Genomic DNA, 19,858 nt, shown 5'->3' on the forward strand with positions numbered 1-19,858 from the left:
GCTGTTTGCAAGGTTCTTGGCTTAGGGACAGATAGTGGAAGCAGGGGCATGGCGGGGAAGAAAACGCCAACAAATTAGGCATGGCCTCGTATTTCAAGGGTTGCCCACAAAGAGAAAAGCTTCTTGTGATGTAGTTAGACTCACATTGCAGCTACATGAAACAAGTGAAGATTTTTGTGGTTTCTGTTCTGAAAGATCATACCAAACTCCTCTTTATACCTACTGAACCTCCAACCCAGTTGTTGATTGCTTCTGAAATAATTAAATTTACTCGCTACTTTTTTTTCAGTAACCCAGTAGGTCTCATGCCCAATCAGCATTTATTCTATCCTTTTTTTCTATCTGCAGAAAAGAAAATTTATTATATGGGGACCTGAAAGAGAAATGCCAGGAATATAATTTCTAAATCCCACCAGGCTAACTATAGATCTGGTTAAATGGCATTTGCAGGTTTCATGTCTCTGTTTGCTCCATGAGATGCGATCCCTGAGAGGCCAAAGCTATTTTTTAACCGTCTCTTAATCCCCAGAGACCGGAGCAGAGGCCTAGCATTTAGTGGAATGCATGAAAGTCATTGAAAGCTTTTTCTTTTGAGCCACAAGATTGACAAATAATCTACTATATTGGCTGGGCACAATGGCTCATGGCTGTAATCCCAGCACTTTGGGAGGCTGTGGAAGGAGGATTGCTTGAGGCCAGGAGTTTGAGACCAACCTGGGCAACACAGTGAGACCCTGTCTCTATTTAACAAACAAACAACTACTATATCAATAAAACAAAATGACAGCCATGAATATACTTGCAAACGTATTATAAGCATTGCTAAACATCAGGCCTTGAGTTTGGTGATGTGGAAATACAAACTTACTTAAGAGAACTCCTCTGCTCTCACCTGGCTTGTTATGTGGCTAGAGAATGTCATGTACAGAGATAAAACCATTCAAGGCAATGTGGAGTGAGGCCAGGAATGCCACAGTAAACACTCTAGATCTGTGTTGTAAAATATGTTCACCACTAACCACATGTGGCAATTTAAATTTAAATGAAATGAAATAAAAAATTCTGTTGTTCAGTCATAGTATCTTCACTCCTTGTGTTCAGTAGCTGCATGTGGCTAATGATGCATTATTATAGGGCACAGATATTTCCGTCATCACAGAAAGTTTTATTGGACAATGCTGCTCTGAAAGTTCAAAGGAATAAGAAAGCACTTCTGTTATCTTGGTCAAGGGGTTTCATGGCAGATGTGGCATAGGAGCCAGCTCTTGGTGGAGGGGCAGGACACTAATGAGAAAGGGGGAAGACTGTCCAGAGGGACGGCATGAGCCAAGGGCACTGTTGACACATGTTTGGTCATTAGTAGCAATAATACTGTGGTCACTATCCCGAGAGTATTCCTTCTCTTCCTGCCTTAGAGGACTCCCATCTCCTAACCATAAGAACTGGCCATCTTTTTTCTTATTACTTTCTTTTTCCTGTGATTGCTATCTCTCCATTCCCGTGACTCTGACCTTCACCAACATGACCAGGCATCTGTCCATATCCAGGGCTGGCCACATTCAGGTCATGGATATACATACCCACCTTTTGGATATGCTCCAAACTTTATTTAGAGGTTCCAGGAAGGGATCGCTGTGAGTCAGAAGAGTTGTCCTCCTGTATATAGGAAGGGCATTCACTCCAAAGAAGCACGCAACCTCCATCAGGGATTGTATTTGTCTGCTCAGGCTGCCGTAACAAAATTCCACAGACTGGGCGGCTCAAACAATAGAAATGTATTGTATCACAGTGTTAGAGGCTAAAAGTCCAAGATCAGGGTGCCAGTGGGGTTGGTCTCTCCTGAGACCCTTCTCCTTGGCTTGCAGCTGGCTGCCTTCTCACTGCCTTGTCCTCACATGATTGAACCTCTGTGCTTGCACACCCCCAGTGTCTCTTCTTCTTATAAGGATATTGGATAATCTGGTCATATTGGATTAGGACTCCACCCTAACACCCCATTTTAATTCAATCACTTCTTTAAAGACCTTGTTGCTAAATACAATTATATTCTGAGACACTGGAGGTTGGGACTTCAGCATATAAATTTTAGGAAACACAATTAAGCCCATAATGGGAATGAAGGGAGAAAGGGCGTGTGCCTTAAAGCCAGATCAGGCACAGTATCGAGCAGGATGGCAGAGGCCACAGCCACTACCATCACACCAGGAGCTTGTGCTCACGTATTTTACATTGCCTCAACCCAGGGTGAAAAAAATTGAGCTCATCATTCATACCAAAGCATCTTGATGGCTGCTAATCATCCCCACCAGCCCTTTGTTTTGATGCCTCTAAGTTATCTTTGCTTCCTTCTCTCTGCCTTTAATGTGGAATGATTTCCAAATTCTGTAACATTTTCTGGAGTAAATACTGTCTTTCACAACTGTCATTTTTCCTATTTTTACCACCCACAAATTTTTACAGTTACCTAATTGGCTGCATTCAGCCCGATCTTTTCGGGATATTTCTGCCAGCCATATCATGTGCTTCTCTCTTCAAAATGGCTTCGGCAGTTCCCCACTGCCTATAGTCCAGTATTTGATATGTTCCTCAACAGAACCTAACTTCCTGATAGCTTCTGTAGACGTCACTACAAACAAACAGACGGGGGTACTAGGCAGCATGGTAGTCAATAAACTTCAGTCTTTAGAAAAAGACCGCAAATTCTGGTTTGGCCATTATGCACTGGGATTTGGGACAATGTAACTAAAATTCAGTTTCATCATCATATTTAAGAATAATAATCCTTACCTTGAATGATGCTAGGGAGGACACTTCACATTTACAAGAGACCTGCTTAAATATGGTAGGTTCTCAATTAAAGGCACAATAATTATTATAATCCCTGATTCTACTTTGGATATTGTATTTCTGTCCCTTTGAGCACACTATCCCACCTGCTGGTTGTGACCTCTCCCCTTTTTATGCCTATCTTAGTTCTGTTCTTGAAAATCTACCTCGTTTTATATATTTGCACATGTGCACATGCATGCACGCACACACACACAGAATTGCAGATAACTGTCAGAGTCCCATTCATATCCTTTTACCCTCCCTTCTACATGCCAAAGGCTGCTTACTGTGAATACTTTCAGTTCTCTGCATGAAGGCTTTTTTTTTTTTTCCTGGCCATGAGAACAACCTTGATCCTCATGCAGCATAAGCTGGAAGTGTTAGAAAATTAAACATCCCTAAACAAGAAGATGGGAAGTTGGTGGATAAATCCTCAAGCTCTCTTGCCCTTTTAGGAGGATAAGTTCCAAGTGTACACTTCATGTCTCCCAAGATCCCTAGCAGGATCGAACTCCAGTTGCCCACAGCGGTAACGTCTCAATAACACATCTTTTATTGCCCCCATCTCTTTACTGTCTCATTTCCCCACTGACCTATCACTTCTTCCTTGGATCTTCCGTATAAACCACTTAAACTCAAAACCTTGTCTCAATGTCTGTTTCTGGGGGACCAAACCCAAAATAAAAATATAACATATGTCATCTTTCATTAACTACACTGAACAGGCTCTGTGTCTCATTTCTTGATTCCTCAGTAACATCTAATGATGGGCTATGTATTAATCCATTCTCACACTGCTATAAAGAACTACCTGAGACTGGGTAATTTATACAGAAAAGAGGTTTAGTTGACTCACATTTCTGCATGGCGGGAGTAGCCTCAGGAAACTTACAATCATGGTGAAAGACAAAGGGGAAGTAGGGCACATCTTCCTATGGCCAAGCAGGAGAGAGAAAGAATGAAGGGAGAAGTGCCACAGACTTTTGAACTCTCAGATCTCATGAGAACTTACTATCATGAGAACAGTAAGGGGGAAATCCACCCCTATAATCCAATTACCTCCTACCAGGCCCCTCCTCTAATTAGGGTGGGGACACAAATCCAAACCATATCAGACTGCAAATAGCTGGCACCACTCCACACAGTGACCACAAGAAAATTGGAGTTATGATTTATGCAAGGTTTCCAGTACTACCAGTTCTTTCTCCATTAAAGAATTGCTAAGGGAAGACTTCCCTGGCTCCAGGAAGCAGGCAAGTCAAGCAACAACAGTGTATATGCCACCATGGCACTTAAAAAAATAATAACAACAGGGCCAAGTGCAGTGGCTCATGCCTGTAATCCTAGCACTTTGGGAGGCTGAGGCGGGCAGATCACGAGGTAAGGAATTCAAGACCAGCCTGGCCATCATAGTGAAATGCAGTCTCTACTAAAAATACAAAAATTAGCTGGGCGTGGTGACAGGCATCTGTAGTCCCAGCTACTTGGGGGGCTGAGGCAGGAGAACCGCTTGAACCCAGGAGGAGGAGGTTGCAGTGAGCCGAGATTGCGCCACTGCACTCCAGCCTGTGTGACACAGCGAGACTCTGTCTCAAAATAATAATAACAACAGCAACAACAAAAGCTGTGATGCTATTAAATGCTCAAGTATGACAGTGCCAACGCAGCAAGTACCAATGACCTGGGACTCGCTGGCCTCAGTGACCTAAGCCCATTGCCATGAGCTCACCACTCCTTGTTCCTTAATACCAGAGAAAAATGTGTAGTTCATTAATATCTTTCACTGACATAAGAAAAAAAATTTTCACCTATGTTTTCTTGTTGTTTTCCCAAGAGACCATACAACTGACTTTTCTTTTGTCATTGAGCATCTGTTAGCAAAGGCTCTGCAAACCTTCTCCTCCTCATCAGCTCGCACACCATATGCCATCATCTGCTGGGGTTGCACATTTTCCTGGTTGATAGTCATTGCAAACTTTTTCATGTTCAGAACACATTCATCATAGACTCAGTTTATTCAAAATTTGTGTTAACTCTGTAGTGCCATAGGGTGTAAGAACCTTCTCCGGTCACCTTGAATATTTAGGGCTCAGAGAGAACGTGAAATCCCAGAATCTTACACCTTTTAATATAGGCCAATAATACATTTAATGTGGGACTGTGTTTGAATTTTCTGAAAATTTAAAAGCACCAAAGAGGTATACAGAGTGCAAACTGCAAAATTATTACAAAGGACTTTGTGTTGATGACCTCTCTAATAATGTGCAGAATTCACAGTAGTCAGTAAACCTTAGGTCCATGTGCAAGCCAACTGAGCAACTCTCCACATTTCCTTTCCAAAATTTTACCGCACATGTCACCATAGATTCCAAACGTACTTTAATGCCTTTTGTACAATGGTGTCTTACTTTTACCTCCCAGGAATCCTTCAGTGTTTAATCCTTCAGTGTTCTTTATCAGGGAGTTGTAGAAACAATCAAAATATTGCTAAGTTTTGTCCTAGACAAATCCTAAATCAGACAAGAGTGTGTGCATCAGTTTCTCATTGCTTTAGATCTTGACAATTTTTTCATGTCTTAGCACTGCTTATACCAGCCCAGTTCTTGTTTTCATTCATTGTCTTAGCCTATAATCCGTTCATCATTCCCTCTTGATGAGATTTTGTACTTTGGCCAAACAGATTCCCTAAGTTCTGAAAATGACTGATAACAGGACAACAGAGTGTGGGTTAGTCTGTCACAATAGCTGGCCCTTTCTTTGATTAGCAAATACATATAACCTAAGATACAAATGAGTAGGCCTAGTCTGCCTCCCATAAATTTCCAGTGCCTGGTGAATTAAATGGGGCTTCTCAGGTGCTGCCTTTAAACCATATCACAAATCTGTCTCTCTTACTTTCTTTTAAGCTGGCAGCAGAATAAATGTTAGGAACATATTGCCGTGTCCTTTAGTTCTCATCTGAACAAGGCAGTTCTTTTTATCCTAGAATCACAACTGATACCAGCTAACTTTATGAAGAATTATTTCATTCTTGTATTTATTCACTTTGAATCTTGAGTAGTGAACTCGCTGAGCCTAGTGACATCTGTGTTTCTTTCCCATATACATTTCAGACTTGTTTATTTTCTTTTTTGCTTAATTTGCCTTATAGTCCCCTAAGCCCTGTTACAGTAACCTAGAAAACACGGGGGTGTCTAAGCAGAAATTTAACATAAACTGAGTCCTCAGGTCCTCTCACCTGTTTAAGTTTATAAGAACTAATTTTTGGTATCTCTATGCAGCTTTTTGTCCAGTGACGCCATATTGTTTGATTCTTGAAATGGGCCACAGTCAGAGTATTTACGCCACAGAAATCAGCAAACACTGCATATCAGGGCCTCTCCCCTCCTTCCCTCCCAATTCCTGCTCGCTGCCCCAACCCCTGCTCTGCAGAGAGCCACTTGCTCAATGTTTAGGAGCATACTACTGGGCAAAGGTCAGCCTGTATTTGACATAAGAAGTCTAGGAAGTTAAAGCCTTACAGAAGCATTTGAAACATTTTCAGAGGAATTAGAGCTATTTCTTTAAATCAGTGGATTCCTGCCCTTTGAAGCTAAAGTGTCCCTTATACAGTAAATACTTTGTAACATATCCTATACCTTTCTGAAATCGAGTTCATAGATAATGTAATCTACCTTTTTTTAAATCAGCATAACATCTTAATAATATATAGAAAAAATGAAAGGAAATTTATAATAGTTTATGTTTTAACATGTAAATGCTTAGACATGACTACACTGGAAGATAAGATGAAGAAGTCACACATTCACACCTTTTTGTAGAACTGGCATGAAAGCAGCAGCTACCATGCAGACTTACAGAGACCAGGTTTTGGTGAATCAGTGATTTTATGAAATGATAAAAACAACTCTTGGTAAAATTCTACACAATACAAAACACACTTTTCCCTCAACTCACAAGGTAATCCCATCTTGGGAGATCCAGTGCATGTTAAAACCATACAAAAAATAGTATGTGGGGGTATGTAAGAAGAAATTAGGCTCTAGGCTCAGATTATTTCCCTACGCGAATCACCTACATTCTAAAGTCATGTGGGATGTGGAGAGTTCCTCACTGCACAGAACAGCTGACATCTCTGGCCTCACGCACTAAATGCCAGTAGTGACCTCAAGAAGCAACCAAGAATATCTCCCAGACACTCAAATCGCCCGAGGAATATTACTGCTCTGGTTGAAAACTAGTAATCTAAGTCAAGGCCAAAGAACCTGCCCTTGATGGTCATGGCTTGTGTGCCCCTTTGTCTTGGTAAGTTGGTATAAACAAGGACAATTTCCTGGCTGGAAAGACAGTGACCCTTGGACGTCCAGAGAGAAAGTCCCAGACTACCCAACTTCCAGCAAGTCAAAAGATGCAGGGACAACTTTGGGAGAGACAACAGGGGACCTGGACAAAGAGGGGCAGTGCAACAGGCCATGTAGGGACTGCAAGGCTAGGTAGGAAGAGGGCAGAAGCAGCTGACGTTGGGGAAATGGAAAACTGCAAGTGGAATCACCCATTCTGATTTTAAACATTCTCTTTCTTCCAGGAATTGTAGATAGCATGAGGGGCAGTCATTATGAGGTATCACAGAACTGGAGACTCCCTGGAAATGACTCTGCAAATTATCTAATGGCTCTTGGCTTCTAATAAAACTTGTAGTCAAAGTGCTTCATTTTGGGGACTGGACAGCAGACAATGAACTAGAGGACAATGGATGTTTTATTTTTCTTTTGTCTTCCTTTTTAAATTCTCGTCCTTATCCTGCACTTAATCACTCAGATCTTTATTTAAAAGATAAAAATTACATCTTAATATATTGAGGCTTTGGTGTTTTTTTAATTGAATGTTGCTATTAACCAAGGGGGCCTAGTTATATAGATATTGGCATGCAGTTTCATCCAAATGCTCTTTGTCCTTTAGAGTTAAACATAAAGCTAGTTCTATGGTGACTCACAGCTTCTCTTTTCCCAGCCCCCAATATCTGACCTGCTCATGTTGAGAGCTCCTTCCATTCTCAAGACTGTTGACCAGAGTAGTTGTTCTCCAACTTTCTCAGTTATGGGAACAATTGAGAGTTTGCTTGTTTGTTTGTTTTAAATCTGAGTCATCTGTCCACTCTATTTTTAACTAAAGACTTTTATTGAAATAAAACATTTATAGAAAGGAATACATAAATCATAAATGTATACAGCTTAGTTTTTACAACTGAACACAAACATTTAACCAGCACTCAGATCGAGAAAAAGAACATGACCATGGGCCGGGGGCAGTGGCTCATGCCTGTAATCCCAGCATTTTGGGAGGCCGAGGCGGGCAGATCACCTCAGGTTGGGAGTTTGAGACCAGCCTGACCAACATGGAGCAACCCCATCTCTACTAAAAATACAAAATTATCCAGGCATGGTGGCGCATGCCTGTAATCCCACCTATTCAGGAGGCTGAGGCAGGAGAATCACTTGAACCCGGGAGGCGGAGGTTGTGGTGAGCCGAGATCTTGCCATTGCACTCCAGCCTGGGCAACAAGAGCAAAATTCCATCTTGGGGGAAAAAAAAAAAAGAAGAAGAAGAAAGAAAAAATATGACCCGAACACCAAAAGCTCCTTTGTACCTTTTTTAAATCCTGACTAAAACATAACCAGTATCCTCACTTCTAACAACATAGATTAAAAGGTAACCAGTATCCTAACTTCTAATGAGATTAACTGAAACATTAATGTTTTTGAACTTCGTATGAATAGAATCAGAGTTGTACTTTTTGTGTATTTTTGTCTTTTTTCATGCAACATTATTTTTGTAACATTCATTCACTCTATTGCACATGGTTCAAGTTTGTTTGTTCTCATTGCTGGAGAGTCTTCTATTGTGTGAATATATCACATTTTTTATCCATTCTCTTGATAAATATTTGGGTAGTTTTCTCCTTGGGGCTATTATGATTAGTACAATTATGATTATGTTTTTTGTATATGCCTTTTACATGAACATATGTATGCATTTTTATTGGGTGTATACATAGAAATGGAATTATCAGCTATGAGAGTTTGAAGCTATATTAGGTTTCAGTAGATACTGACAAATGACTTTCCAAGATAGTTGTGCAAATTTCCATTCCCACTGGCAGTATATGAAAATTTAGATTTCTCCACATCTTCACCAACCCTTGGTATCTTGTTTTTTGTTTTTTGTTTTTTGTTTTTTTAATTTTAGACATTTTGGTAGATGTGTCGTGCTATTGCATTGTGGTCTTAAATTTTATTCCCTGATAACCAATGAAGTTGATCATCTTTGCAACCAAGGCTTGTTGGCATTGAGCTGCAACACACTGGCATGGTCTGCATTTATTCTCAAGGATTATTGTCTGTAGCACACTGGTTGTTAAATATTTTGCTCAATACTATTTTCCATGACAATTTATTGAGTTGTAATTGACATTCAATAAACTGCACATTCTTAAAGTGTAAAATGTGTAAGTTTTGATGCGCACGTATACCTGTGAAACCATTACCATAATCAAGATATAAACATTTCCACCACCACCACCACCCAGAAGTTTTTCCATGTGCTTTTGTAATCTTGCCCTCCTGTCGCTCCCTTTTCCCTAAGCCCTGTCTCTAGGCAACCACTGATTTCCTTGCTGCCACATATATTAGATTGCATTTCCTAGAATTTCTTTACTTAAATCAAATTATACATTAGCTACTATTGTATCCATCTTCTTTCACTCAGAATGATTATTATGAGATTCATTTATGCTGTGGCATGTATCAATAGTTCATTCCTTTTTATTGCCAAGAAGCTTTCCATTGTATGGATATACCACAATTTGTTTTACCAATTCACCTATTGATGGACAGTTGGGTTGCTTCCAGTTTGGGGCTATTACTACAAATAAAGCTACTATGAATGTTCATGTTATTGAATAGAAATATGCCTTAATGTCTCCTGAGTAAACACCTAGGCATGGAATGGCAGGATCACTTGGTAAGAATATGTTCACCTTTTTAAGAAATGTTCAAACTGGTTTATGATTTTATATTTCTTGCAACAGTATATGAGAGTTATAGTTTCTCCACAATCACAGCAATACTTGGTATGGCAGGCTTTTTAATTTTAGCAATTCCAATAGGTATGTAGTGGTGTCTTATTGTGGTTTTAATTGGCATTTACCTAATTAGCATTTACCTAATAACTAATGATGTTCAGCATTGTTTCATAGGTTTATTTGCCATATATATAATGTCTTCAGTGACATTTCTGTTCAAATTGTTTACCCAATAAGAGTTGGAAGAAGGGTGCTTGCTTTGTTACTTTTGAATTTTGGAATTTTTAAAATTCTAGTTACAAATCCATTATCTGATATATGCTTTGCACAATTTTTTGAGATGGAATTTTGCTCTTGCTGCCCAGGCTGGAGTGTAATGGTGTTATCTTGGCTCACTGCAACCTCCACCTCCTGGGTTCAAGCAATTCTCCTGACTCAGCCTCCCGAGTAGCTGGGATTACAGGCACCTGCCACCATGTCCAGCTAATTTTTATATTTTTAGTAGAGACGGGGCTTCACCATGTTGGCCAGGCTTGTCTCGAACTCCCGACCTCAGGTGATCTACCTGCCTCGGCCTCCCAAAGTGCTGGGATTGCGCTTTGCACTATTTTTATCCTACTGTATGATTTGTCATTTTATTCTTTTAGCAGAGTCTTCCAAAGAATAGAAGTTGTAAATTATAATGAAGTTCTAATTATTTTGTTTTTTTTATGTGTCATACTTTGGTGCCATATCTAAAAAATCATTGCCTGATGCAAGATCACAAAATTTTCTCCTATTTTCTTCTAAAAGTTTATGATTTTATGCTTTACATTTAGGTCCAGGATCCATTTTGAGTGAATTTTTGCATATGCTGTGGGTTATGGATCTTTTATTTTTGTTGTTTGTTTTATTTGTATGCAGTATATACCTCATTATTCCAGCACCATTTTTTGGAAAATACTATATTTTTCCTGGTATAAATCCTTTATTTTTGTTGTTTTATTTGTATGCAATATATACCCCATTGTTCCAGCACTATTTTTAGGAAAATACTACCTTTTTCCTGGTCTTAATGTAGGTTGGACTTCCCCATTCATGAGTTAAAAACACAAGGTCTGTGCCATAGGTTTCATTGTTTTAATGATGTCTTCTAATAATTAGTCCTAATTTTGTTTTACTTACAGTGAGGCCATTCTAATTGCCTTACAACAGTAGATCATAGTCTCTTCCAACTTTAAATTTCTACCAACTTGTACATGGCTCTGCTAGTCAGTGTCTTCCAGGAAGTACTATTCATTCATTCAGCAAATACTTATTGAGGGATTGTTATGTGTTGTATATTGTTCTAATTACTGGGATCATAGCAGTGAACTGGATTGGGTTGCTACCATTGAAGAGACTACTTTTTTTATGATAGACATACAGTAAAAAGTAGATACATGCCAGGTAGGGTTATAAATAAAAAATGCAGGGGCAAGGAACACACAGCAATGGACATGACCTAGAGTCCTATTTTAATTAGGGTCATCATTGTCTTAATTATGGCAACATATTCAAAAAGAACTGAAGAAAAAGATGCAACAAGGCATGCCAATATCTAAGCAAAGGCTGGGTGTAGTGGGTCACACCCATAATCCCAGCACTCTGGGAGGCATATCATTTGAGCCCAGTAATTCAAGACCAGCCTGGGCAATGTAGTGATACCTCATCTCTACTAAAAATGAAAATAAAAACAATTAGTCAGGCATGGTGGCACATGCCTGTAGTCCCAGCTACTTACGGGGTTGAGGCGGGAGGATCGCTTGAGCCTGTGAGATTGAGGCTGTAGAGAGCCAAGATTGCACCACTGCACTCCAGCCTGGATAACAAAGTGAGACTTTGTCTCATAAGCAAGCAAATATATAACTGCAGAGGATTCTTGGGGAGTTCGAATTGAGACTTTTAGACCTTGAAGAAACGTTTGATATTATCCAGTTCCAGGACTGCCGCTAGATTTCATCTTCAAAGCCAATTCAATGGATTGGTACTGAATGCTTACAGTCAGCAAGTTTTTTTCTCTAAAGGTACAGATTGTAAATATTTTCAGCTTTGTGGGCCATACAGTTGCCACTACGATCACGCAGCTCTGTTGTGCAAAAGCAGCAAAGACAATATGTAAACAAATTAATGTGCAATTGCTGTGCTCCAATAAAACTTTATTTTACAACAAGTGGTAGGCTGGATTTGGCCTTTGGAGTCTGCCAACCCCTGGACTTGAGTATGGTGTTGGGCAGCCTTACTCAGTTCTTTCAGAGGGGCACGTCACTCGTTTTGTCATGGACTTCTATGGGGCACTCAGCAATGTGTTTGGCACTGTGGGTCACAATAGCCTCCTCTGTTACTGTTGTGGTAATAGCAGTAAGACCAGGAAAGTTCTCACAAGCTGTTGGTAGAAAGTTATGCTCTGGCTCACCAACTTAGTTTTGCCACACTGGCCTTTCCTTACCCCTCCAGATGCATCAGTAATCAACTTCATATATTTGAAGACAGAGCTTTGGAGGCAGCCCCCTCTCCAAATACAGCCCACATAGCCAGAACAAGCCTAAGCCTGGAACTGAGCCTTTCCTTAGAAGCCGCTGGTAATGTTCAGAATTAGGGGTAAAAGTTTCTATAAAGTTTTGCTACATTCTGTTAATGCCACATCGAAAAACCAATTAAAAAAAAAAAAAAACTGCTGCCTGTCTCTGAATCTGAAGTGTGTGAGAATGGAAATTAGCTGTTCCCTAATTTCCTAATGTTCCCTGCCACTGACCAGTCCTCCCAGCAAGAAAGGAGAGAATAACCTGGCCCAACTAAGGAAGAAAAGTAGGTCAGTGATATGGTTTGGCTGTGTCCCTACCCAGATCTCATCTTGAATTCCCACACATGGCGGGAGGGACCTGGTGGGAGGTAACTGACTCCCCCCAAGGGACATGGGGGCAGATCTTTCCTGTGCTGTTCTCCTGATAGTGAATAAGTCTCACAAAATCCAATGGTTTTAAAAATGGGAGTTTCCCTGCACAAGCTCTCTTCTCTTGTCTGCCACCATGTGAGATGTGCCTTTCACCTTCCACCATGATTATGAGGCCTCCCCAGCCTCATGGAACTGTGAGTCCGTTAAATCTCTCTCTTTTGTAAATTGCCCAGTCTCAGGTATGTCTTTATCAGCAGCATGAAAATAGACTAATACAGCCTGGGAAAGTACAAGAGAAATACTATCTTTCTTCTTCTTTTAAATTTTAAACAAATTAGAGAGTTGATTAATTTGAAATAGACTAAACTTGACTTTTAAAAGAGACCCAAAAAATGACGGCATAAATAAGATAGAAGTGTACATCTCTCTCACATAATAGTCTAGAGGTAAATGCTCCAGGCTGGCACGACAGCCAGTACTCCACATGGACATTCAGGGAGCCAGGTTCTTTCCATCTTGTGGCCTTGCCTCCCTCTGGGTTGCTGTCCTCCTCTCTGGTTTATGTAGAGTTCTGCAGTATTCCACTTGGTAGGGAAGGGGCAAGATAGCAAGTGGAAGGTGGGAAATTAAGGAAGTGACATTGAATTTGCACACAACACTTGTGATCACATTGTGTTGATGAGAACATGGCCACACCTAGCTGCGAAGGAGGCTGGGAAATATGGTGTCTATCTGGATGGCGATATGCTCAGCTAGAAACCTATTGTAGGGGAAATAGAGAGAATGGATTTGGGAGAAGGGTCCTGGAATTAAGTTTGCCACAGAGTAGTAGAAAGAGGTAAAAATATAATTTTTTTTGTCTATTTCTATCGAATGTGTGAATACTAATGCCAAACATTACATGGTACCAGAGAATTTATAAAAATCTTTCTCATAAATTATTGCATTTAATTCTCCAACATTGTCTTCCATTGAAGTAGATGTTATTTTGAAGTAGACCTTACCTACAATTGCAAATGAAAAGAATAAATGAGACTCAGAAGGATTATGAATTTACCTAACCCGACCCAGCAGATAAATATAGAGCCAAGACTTGAATCCAGGGCTTCTTCACTCCAGTCTCAGAGGTCTACCATTTCTAGCCTCTGTAACTTGTCCATCTCAACAGGTGTGAAAGAAAAAAAAAAATGACACTTGTTAAAGGTGGTAAGGGGGGACCATGACAACAGCTATAGGAGAAGAGAGATTGGACTAACTCTCACTCCACTGAGGACAAGTAGGGATTCATAACCGAAGAGAAGGATGGGGTCAGTGGATGGAAAATCCCTAAGAGAAAACATCAAGCATAAGGAATTTCTGGCCAAACTGACTCAGAAAGGATTATTTCTGAAGGCAAGTTAGGGTGATAAGATAACAGGGGTGGTCAGTTACTATAGGGAATGAGAAATATATTTCTTTCCCATCCCTAGGTTCATGGCTGAGGCCACAATAACAAAAGACAGACTAACCAAAAAAAAAAAAAGGCATATAAAAATTGATTTAATGTAAGTTTTATGTGACACAAGAGCCCGTAGAAATGAAGACCCAAAGAAATAGGTAAGCCTGTGTATTTTTTTTGCTAAGTTTAATGAAGAGTGAGCAGTCCTGCAGAAGTATGATTGGCCAAAGGAGCATAATCTAATAGTAATAAGCTGGGGGGAATTTAGCAAGGCCTATCTATTTAGGTGGTGCTCTGTGTCCCTGTGTCTTCCGAGACAACGATGTTCCTTTCTTATGTATACAGGGAGGGCATCTCTGACATGAGGGTCTGATGACCTGCTTCAGGGGAGAAGGGCAAGGGGAAACTCAGAGTGACCTCCCTGTTCTACTGTTTACTCAAATGCCAAAGTGCCATATTTTGGGGTAGCATGTTCTGATTCCTATCACTACCAAGAGTGAGGGATTTTCCCTAAGCTGCCTTAGCAGGATTCTGGCTCACACTGGATTCTGCAAAGTTAGACAGGAAGCCCAAACTTGGGCCTCCTCAAGCAGAGGAATGAGAGGAGCCTGACTAAAGCTTTGGTCAAAGGAGAGAGTATCTGTCATACCAAGTTCTCTAAAGGTTCTCTGGTGCCTTTGTGTTCACCAAGTGGAATGTCCCATCAGCACAGAGAGTCTGACAGTGTAGTGTGCAGAATGAAAACCCGAGGACCTTGATTTAAATGCACCTGAATAGACCCCCAACCCCAGAAATTTGTGTGAGGTAGCTCTGGGTGTGAAGCCCTGGAAGCACCATGCCTTGGGAATCACTGCAGCAGATCCTACATTTTAGCATTGCATTTTGCTTAAACAGAGGGAAAGTATTTGATATTTCTGTCTATTCTTTCCCTTTCTTTACCTCCCATGCTTATGTGTTACCTTACATTTTGAAACTGTTGCCTTCTGAATTATCTTTGCTTATCTTTTTTTGAAGCAACTGTAACTTCATCAAGTAAACAATAACAAAATGCAAAAAACTAATTTTGGAAGCCACCATGATATCTTCTCTAAGAGAAGCTTTCGAAGCTCTTGGTTGACTAGATGTTGAGAAGGTGGGTTTATACCCTGATGTTTGAAAGAAGAGAGAAAAACTATTTTTTTAACCAAAAATACTTAACATTGTATTCACATTACCTGTGTGTGTGTGCGCGCGTGTGTGTGTATAATGTGCTTTTATGCATATCTTTGTTTCTCCAACAGAAATTTCACAGGGATTTCTATCTGGCTTTATGTTACCCTGACAATTCCCACTCAATCACATTGAGCTTTTTATTTGCCTTTTTCTCTGTCAGACACTAGGATGAATTTAAATTCCATTCCCTCTCCAACTGCCCCTCTGATGTGTTTGTACTTTTTACATTCCCTTTCCCTGTAGAATCTGAAGGAAATTCCTTTGGGCTTTTAGCTTTCCCTCAGAGTCAGAAACTTTTGTGTTGCTAATAGAACTTGGCTTCATTAGCATTTCAAATCCTGGGATGCTCTTAAAGATCAGAGTTAGATCTAAGGGGCTCTCTCCAGCCACAACCTGATTTATCAAACCTGTTTAACTGAAATCTCCAGTGGCCAATGCCTTTGACCTTATTTCTGCCAGCACATTTCATCAGAAAATTCTTTTCAAGGATTCTAGAGAAAGATACATGCATGATCTGAGAAGTTTTACTTTTGTCCCTCTCACTGCCTTATATATTGTCTGCAAAAAGCCATACTCTGCTTCATCACCTTTGGGGGTTTAGGTCATGGGTAGATGATGGATCAGAGAGTGAATGGATGGGTGGATAGGTAGATGGGTATATGAGCAAGTGGATGTGTGGATAACTAGAAGGGTGGATGGATTGGTGGATGGATGAGTAAATGGAGGGATGGGTGGATATCAGGTAGAAGAACGGGTAGGTGAATGGATGGATGGATGGATGGAAAGATAACAGATGATAACACAAGATAGATTAATAATGCAAGTCTTCCATCTTATGCAATACCTTTGCCATTTAATTAATTTATAATCAGCCCTAAGGTGCTGAGGCTCAACACCACTTATGCCAAAAAAAAAAAAAAAAAACAGAGTCATATGATCTATTATGATCTATTTCCTGTCTTCCACAGGGGCAGCAGGGTGGGGCTTGCCAATTATTTCATGGTCATTCTGACTCAGTGTGTGCTTTGTGAAATGAAAGAAACCATCTTCCTTTATAGTATATATAAATATAAAAATGCTTCAGTGTGGTAGTACTTAACTAGGTATATGCAGCAAATTCTCTTAGAGAACTTGCCCTAATTACATATTTGCAGCCCCTACCCCCTCCACCTGCAGCCTGAAATGTGCATTCTGGTTGAAAATGACTACTCTGACAGAAGATTCTCTGGTACAGGTAGTATTTGAGTGGTATTGAGCAATATGTATCGGACTTCATTTTGTCCTTGCAGACATTGCACTAACATTTTTTCTTCTTTTCTTTTTTTTTTTTTTTTTTTTTTTTTTTTGAGACAGTCTTGCTGTGTTGTCTAGGCTGGAGTGCAGTGGTGCAATCTCGGCTCACTGCAACTTCCACCTCCCAGGTTCAAGCAATTCTTCTGCCTTAGCCTCCCGCGTAGCTGGGATTACAGGTGCGTGCCACCATGCCCGGCTAATTTTTTTTGTATTTTTAGTAGAGACTGGGTTTCACTGTGATGGTCTCAATCTCCTGACCTGGTGATCCTCCTGCCTCGGCCTCCCAGAGTACTGGGATTACAGGCGTGAGCCACTGTGCACGGCCTTGCACTGACATTTCCTAAGTACTTGTATTACCTCATTTAATCTTTACCACAACTCTTTGACGTAGGTACCATTAATATTTACATTTTGCAGGTGAGAGAATATAGAAGTTAAGTAACTTTGCCTAGCCAGACAGCTAGTAAGAAGCAAAGCTGGGGTTTAAACACAGGTAGTGTCTAAACTCTGTGGCCCCACCTACCATGTTACACTGCCTCTCTAATCATTAAGCTGACCTTTGAGAGCACTATGCTGCAATAGAGCTTTCTGCAATGATGGAAACATTCTATGTCTGCACTGTCCTATTAATGTGAAAGCCACCAGTCATATGAGGCTGTTGCACCCTTGAAATATGGTTAATGTGACTGAGAACTCATTTTTAATTGTTTAATTTTAATTAGTTTAAACAGCAGAGTTTAAAAGCCGACTAACAGTTTCTGTTCATACATATGATCTCAAAAAATGAAGTGCTGAACTAGGAATTAAGGCAGGCATCTCAGTTGTAGACATTATCCTTTATTAATAATATTAACACGAAATAATTGCAAAGCACTCTTAGAATCCTTTGTGCTTCCTTCCATCCTTGAAAAGAGTCTAGCTGTTCTTCTAAGCACTCTGTCAACTAAGTGGCACATCTAATCTTAGCTTATTGGAAGATGTATTGAGATGAGACAAAATTCACGTGGAATAGCATAGGGAAGTCACAGGCAAGCTGCAGCATGGTAGTGCCATTGGCATTTATTCTCAGGAGTCACCATTACATTTTCCATCTCTCAAATGTTGCCATCATATATGGGACTGAGGTGGGGTGTTCGTGGAAATAATGCACTTTAAAGCAGGGTTTAATAGTGGAAGAACAGGGGTATCTGCACACATTTTGAAGGCAGAGATGTTACCCAAAACTCCTTCTTATGGAAGGAAATGAAGACAATAAGGTAGAAAAGTGAGAAATTACCAGCCAAGAGAGAAAGAAAGATGATTCTGGATGAAGTAATATAATGCATTCTAGATGAATAATATAATAAAAAGCCCTATTATTCTTCATGAGATACACAAGTTGAAACTGAATTAAGCTTTTAAAAGGGAAGGAAAAGTAAAGTGTTAACAAAACCCAAATGTATATAGCTAGGTTTTATAAGGATACAGACAAGGCAATGTAGAATTCTGTGAAATTGTTAAATGTTGGTTTAGAACAGAGGTGGACAAACTACAGCCCATGAGCAAAACCTAGTCCACTATCAGTTTTTGTAAATTAAGTTTTATTAAGTACATCCATGCCCATTAATTTATTATATAGTCTGTGGCTCCTTTATACTACAGTGGCATAGTTGAGCAGTTGCAACAGAGACTGTATAGCCTGCAAAGCCTAAAATATTTCCAGTGGCCCCGTACAGAAAATGTTTGCTGACCCCGGTTTTAGAACAAAAAGGTAACATATATTCACATAACTGCTTTGGAGTACAATTTTGTGCGTCCATCAAATTTTAAGATGCTCATAATCCTTGTTCTGGTAACACCGCTACTAGAATTTTATCCAGCAGACGTATTGGTGCACATGCCCACAGGGCTTCTTTGCACTAACCTAATAGTACTAAAAAAGTAGAAACAACCTAAATGTCTTAACAGCTGGCCATTGGTTAAATGAAATGCAGTGCATTGATGTACAGAGATTCTAACTTATTTTTTAAATGAGGTAGTTCTATATGTATTATTTATTTTGAAGGGATGTTCAAGAAATATTGCTAAATTTAAAAGTGTTGCAGAGCAATATGTATCATAAGACCATACTGGTATAATAGCAACAAACAGCACCCCCCCACACAATCCCAAAAAAATATACAGATCTATGCCAAGCACCAGTTAAGATGCCTGGCACATGGTAGGTATTCAACATTTAATGAATACATGTAGAGGACTTTTACTTTTCACTTTATATCTTTTGGACAAGACTTTGAATTTTTATGAGCATGTATTACTTAAATCTAGATTTATAGGGAGTGATGGAAAATGTGAAAATAAAATTTTAAAAAGGAAAAGAAAGAGTAAAGATCTAGATTTAAAAAAGGAAATGTAAACAAGATGAAATAGCCAAAGATAGGTCTCCCCAAAACTAATGTTGAGACAATGCCACCAGCAGTGACAGTCAGCTAAGAGATGGTTCGCAGCTCACTGCTCAGTACTGAGGCATTCAGCAGGGGTTGTATTTAACTTTCAAGTTGGAACCAACCGAAACTGTTGGGCTTGAAGAGCTGTCTTTATGAGTCATCGACGGCAGAAAGCACAGAAGCACTAAAGAAAATAATTCAGAAATGTGGAAAGAGAAAAGTATGCCCTTGTCTTGGGAGAACAATATTTGTGTGTAACCAAGTAGGAAGACTTTGTGGAGGAAAGTCTGAAAAAGCAGAGAGCTGAAGAGAAAAGAGCCAAATGAAGGACACGGTGGCCAACACTCAAAGTAAAAAGACATTTTTGAAGAAGATGTGTTTCTAGGGTTTCTAAGAAGTCGCTATACTCATGCCCAGAGCCACCTTGCAAGTTCATTTGGAAAGTGCATTGGTGTCTTTTGGTATAAGATCCACGAACATCAACAGTCCTGTTATGTGAGCAGGTGTTCATACTGAAGGGCCACAAGCAAAGTTTCCATGTGTTATTACTGTTAGAACTTCCCCCGCTCCCTTCCAACACAAAAGCAGCTCTGCCTGCTAGTATGGAAGCCCTGGGAAGAGCCTCATACTTGCCTCGTGCTGCCAACATCTCTGCCTTGGCTTCC

At 40.0% G+C, this 19,858-nt stretch overlaps 1 protein-coding gene across 2 annotated transcripts in view, besides 2 other annotated features; it reads left to right on the top strand.

The window, feature by feature from the left end:
* Window positions 1-19,858, top strand: part of RARB (retinoic acid receptor beta) — a 768,612-nt gene that overhangs the window by 575,291 nt on the left and 173,463 nt on the right. The window lies entirely within an intron of this gene.
* Window positions 7,687-7,981: an enhancer, noted in NCBI's record as "tiled region #14684; HepG2 Activating non-DNase unmatched - State 23:Low". NCBI's record gives its function as "activates a minimal TATA promoter and a strong SV40 promoter by Sharpr-MPRA in HepG2 cells {active_cell/tissue: HepG2}" and the evidence as "EXISTENCE:reporter gene assay evidence [ECO:0000049][PMID:27701403]".
* Window positions 15,436-16,217: an enhancer, noted in NCBI's record as "OCT4-NANOG-H3K4me1 hESC enhancer chr3:25461538-25462319 (GRCh37/hg19 assembly coordinates)". NCBI's record gives its function as "activates a minimal SCP1, AML or CMV promoter by ChIP-STARR-seq in primed H9 embryonic stem cells {active_cell/tissue: H9 hESC(primed)}" and the evidence as "EXISTENCE:reporter gene assay evidence [ECO:0000049][PMID:30033119]".

This window comes from Homo sapiens, chromosome 3 (genome assembly GCF_000001405.40).
Source record: "Homo sapiens chromosome 3, GRCh38.p14 Primary Assembly".
NCBI lineage: Eukaryota > Metazoa > Chordata > Mammalia > Primates > Hominidae > Homo > Homo sapiens.